At 41.7% G+C, this 4,561-nt stretch overlaps 1 long non-coding RNA gene across 1 annotated transcript; it reads right to left on the reverse strand.

Annotated features, from left to right (window-relative positions):
- Positions 1-1,157: 1,157 nt before the first annotated feature.
- LOC105371545 (uncharacterized) lies at positions 1,158-2,831 on the reverse strand. The gene is made up of 3 exons (XR_934243.2): positions 2,753-2,831; positions 2,380-2,645; positions 1,158-1,352 (listed from the first exon to the last, which is right to left on the reverse strand). It is a non-coding gene; the product is annotated as an uncharacterized LOC105371545 (long non-coding RNA).
- Positions 2,832-4,561: the final 1,730 nt, after the last annotated feature.

Consider the following 4,561-nt stretch of genomic DNA (forward strand, 5'->3'; position numbering starts at 1 on the left):
CAGAGACAGGTGGGTAGGAGAAGGTCAGAGAAAAACTTCAGCTTCTGAGGCCTCATTTTAGGTATCATTTCCTGAGCCCAGACCCTTTGATACAAAAACAATTAAAAAGAAGTAACGAAATGTATTGTAAAATTTCTTGTGTATCCATGCAAAGAAGTGAACATTTATTGTGCATTGTTGTTGTTGTTTTATTTTATTATTATTATACTTGATAAGTTTTAGGGTACATGTGCACAATGTGCAGGTTAGTTACATATGTATACATGTGCCATGCTTGTGTGCTGCACCCATTAACTCGTCCTTTAGCATTAGGTATATCTCCTAATGCTATCCCTCCCCCCTCCCCCCACCCCACAACAGTCCCCAGAATGTGATGTTCCCCTTCCTGTGTCCATGTGTTCTCATTGTTCAGTTCCCACCTATGAGTGAGAACATGCAGTGTTTGGTTTTTTGTCCTTGCGATAGTTTACTGAGAATGATGATTTCCAATTTCATCCATGTCCCTACAAAGGACATGAACTCATCATTTTTTATGGCTGCATAGTATTCCATGGTGTATATGTGCACATTGTTTATGTACCAGAAATCATGCCAAACCGGATCATTTATATTGTCTCAATTCTTATTACAACTATGTTGTGTCTATTGTTATCTATTTCAGATAAGGTAAAGGTGGCTCATAGAATCTTAGTATTACTAGGAACTTCAGTTTCTAAGTTAATTCATCATATGTAAAAATAAACAAATATTGAATTGGAATGACACCAAAATTGACTGTAAATTTCTAATGCAGAAAATCCTAAGAACGATGAAATAGGATAGTGAGACTTACAGGAGGATAAAAAGATGATCGTTTTACTTGGGAAGATGCTGAGTGGGAGGATGGAAGGGTATTCATCAGATGTCCTGCCAGCAGCTGTGAATAGGGAGCTGTGATGGGTGAAGGGTCTTGTCTATAACATCATTCATAGGCTGTTCCCTCTGCCTGGAGTGCTTTACTCCCACATCTTTATTTTCCTGCGTGGCTCATTCTTCACAGCATTCAGACCTGTTTAAAACCCTCCTCCTTGGAAAGATCTTCCATAACCATGTCAACTAGAAGAACACATCCCAGCCCCACATTTCCACACTGTCCCAGGCCCCATTAATACCTGGCATCTACCTCTGGTGGCCAATTTGAGAGGAGCGCTGATCTTCCGTGCATGAAAAAGCCAGCCTGAGGAAACCAGGGAACAAATGCACTATCTTCTTTCTTGCTCCAACCTTCCGTCTCTCCAGTTTCCCACTGGCTGTGTCCATTCAGAAGGCAATGCACAGGGGACTTCATTGATGCAGCCCATACAGGTCAGGCTCTTGGGTAGAAATTAGAGTGGAGAAGGGTAGAGAATAGATGGGAAGGGGTGTGATGGATTGCTTTAAGAATAGTCCTAATTCTCCACCTCTCTCTATATTCATAATCTAGGCAATTTGATTTTATAGCTCCACCCATCACAAAGTTGAATCTATTTTATTATTCCTTGAATCTGAGCTAATCTTTGACTTGCTTTGACCAACAGAAAATGATGGAAGCGATATTGTGCCATTTCCAAGCCCAAGCCTTAATGAAACTGTCCACATTCCCACATTCTCTCTTGGAACACTGCCTAGGACTTTGAGAACTAGCCTTGATAATCGACTACCAGATGAGAGACCATGATAAGCAAAGATAAGCTCTCTAATTTGAGGCCATCACAGACTAGCCAGTCCTCAATCAACACAACAACCGACTGTAGTGCATGAGTGAGTCCAGCCATGACTAGAAGAGCTGCCCTGCTGAGCCCAGCTCAAACTGCTGACCCTCAGAATTATGTGCTAAATAAATATTTATTGCTTTAAATCACTGGTTTGAGGGATGAGTTGCTATTCTGCATTATGGTACTAGATGACTAATATGGAGCACTGACACAGTCCTCAAAGAATATTTGTTAAGCAGAATGAATGGCTTTTCTTTATTTCTTTATTTCCTATCTTTACATAATTTGGCAAAATTTGCTTTCACCAAACCAATATACACATATTATGCTTTACAATATCCATAACTGTTTTTGTGGATATTTGGAACCTATATCACATTTCAATTGTTGCAGTGGGCTTCCCCCACTTAGAAGAAGACATTGCTTTGGGGTGTTAGGGCAACTTAAGTTCATTTTTATTCTCCCTCTATACTTATGATTAAGGTGATTCCTGAAGTTCTGAAAATTAACATATTTTCTGAAGATGATAAATAAGAAGAGCTAAAGGTCAGGAAATGAAACTTGAGGCATGTCCATGCTAGCTATGTACAGAGAGCAGAGGAAGGGATAACCAAGAAAGAGAGACTGAAGGCAGTCTTTGAGTTACCCGGTGACTGGGCCAAGGTAAAACTGCTTGTGGATGTCATTTGTCTCTATAGTTTCTAGGGGCTCAAAGCATCTAGAGTCATGAATATATTTAGACTGAGAGACCAAAGCAGGACAGTTTGAGGGAAAGCAGGAAACCCATTGCCCCTCTTATCTACACCAAGTCTCTGTATGATAAAGAGCTCCAAGCTCACACTTTTCTCTTGGTCTGGACTTTGGGTCTTCACATCATCATAGGTCAATTTCTTCCAGGTCTGGAGAAAGAGACTGCATCGGAAACAAGACAAAAAGTCTGGGTGAAAAATGAACACATTTAGTCAATCACTAAATTGCTAGGTATATTAGTCTGTTATTACATTTCTCTAAAGAACTACCTGAGACTGCATAATTTATAAAGAAAAGAAGTTTAAGCGGCTCATGGTTCCTCAGGCTGTTCAGGAAGCATGGCTGCCGGGAGCCTCAGGAAACTTACAATCATGGCGGAAAGTGAAGGGGAAACAGGCACATCCTACGTGGCTGGAGCAGAAAGGAGAGAACTGGGAGGTGCTACGCACTTTTAAATAACCAGATCTCTAGAGAGCTCACTCACTTTCATGAGAACAGCAAGGGGAAAGGGTGCCCCCATGATCCAATCACCTCCTACCTGGCCCCTCCTCCAACATTGGGGATTACAATTTGACATGAGATTTGGGCAGGGGCACAAGTTGAAACCATTTCACCAGGCCTCCATGCCAAACTGCTCAGTGCTGAGGAGCATCTAAGTAATCAATCATTGTACACTTTTCATCTAGAAATGCTGGTAGATGTAGCACTGACCAAAGACATCGAGAGGCTGCAGATCAATTCACCATTACAGCTTTGGGAAGCCCAACCCCATGAGGTCTATGACCACATGAAGTCCATTCTAGAAGGGTAGATTTGAAAAGGAACTCATATGCAATCTAGGGTAACTCTTTTATTTTGTAGATAAAGAAGCTGAGGTCCAGAGAAGGGGTGTTACTTGGCTAAGTCCACACAGCTACTTGATGACTTACCCTGGTTTAGACACTAGCCCTCTGGACTCCTATATACTTTGTTCCATTTCTCCATTTTCTCCTTTATTTAGAGGCAAAAGAAAACTTTCCAACTTATGCCTCAACCAAAAATAAATGAGTAAAAACCCCTCAAATAGGTAAGGTCATTTGTACAACACTTTATGGCTTATTCTGTGCTTCACCAAATGCTTTTTGGAGCATCGCAATACTTGGAGCAGACAGCAGCTAATTGTATGCTTACTTACAGATGAAATTACATGATGGTCCTGCAATCGGAAAATGACAAAGCTGGCATTGGAAACCAGATCTTTTCCTTGCATTTCTTTTTTTCTTTTCTTTTGTATCGCTCATTTTTTAGAGATTGTGTCACCCAGGGTGACTTGCTTGCTCTGTCGCCCAAGCTGGAGTGCAGTGGTGCCATCTTAGCTCACTGCAGCCTCTAACTCCTGGGCTCAGGAGATCCTCCTGCCTCAGCTTCCCAAGTAGCTGAGACTACAGGCACACACCACCATACCTGGCTAATTTTTTGTTTTTTTATAGAGACGGGGTCTTGCTATGTAGGCCCAGGCTGGTTTCAAGCAGTCTTCCTGCCTCAGCCTCCCAAAGTGTTGGGATTACAGGCGTGAGCCACTGTGCCTGGCCTGCATTTATTTTTGCAAATATTTATTGAGTGCCCACTTCACACACCCCAGATACTATGCTGGGAGCACATTTGCATCCATATATATTAATGCCAGTTATAGGATAAATTGCCTGTGTATTGGTCAGCTTTGGCTAGATCATGCTGCAATAACAAACAATTTCAGATACCTGTGGCTTATAATACAAAGATTTTATTTTGACTCATGCTACGTGCCCTGGCTCTGCTACCTGTCCTTATCATCTCATTCCAGGATCCAGGCTAATGAAGTAACCAAGAACAATATGTCCTAGCCATTATAACTCTTCTTAGAGGCCTGAGTTTTGGAGGAAGGAGGAAGCAAGAATAAGGAAAGGGTGCCCCAGAGATAGAAAGGGAAGCCATTGTAAGAGCTCTGCAAAGATGATTTCATTAGTTACAATTGTAGGAACAGAAAAATGACTGGTTTGCATTTCAAACAAGGGGAAAAAGAAGCATTGTTTTGTGTGTGAGTGTGAGCCGGCTGGGTA

The sequence above is a fragment of the Homo sapiens genome, chromosome 17 (genome assembly GCF_000001405.40).
Source record: "Homo sapiens chromosome 17, GRCh38.p14 Primary Assembly".
Lineage (NCBI taxonomy): Eukaryota > Metazoa > Chordata > Mammalia > Primates > Hominidae > Homo > Homo sapiens.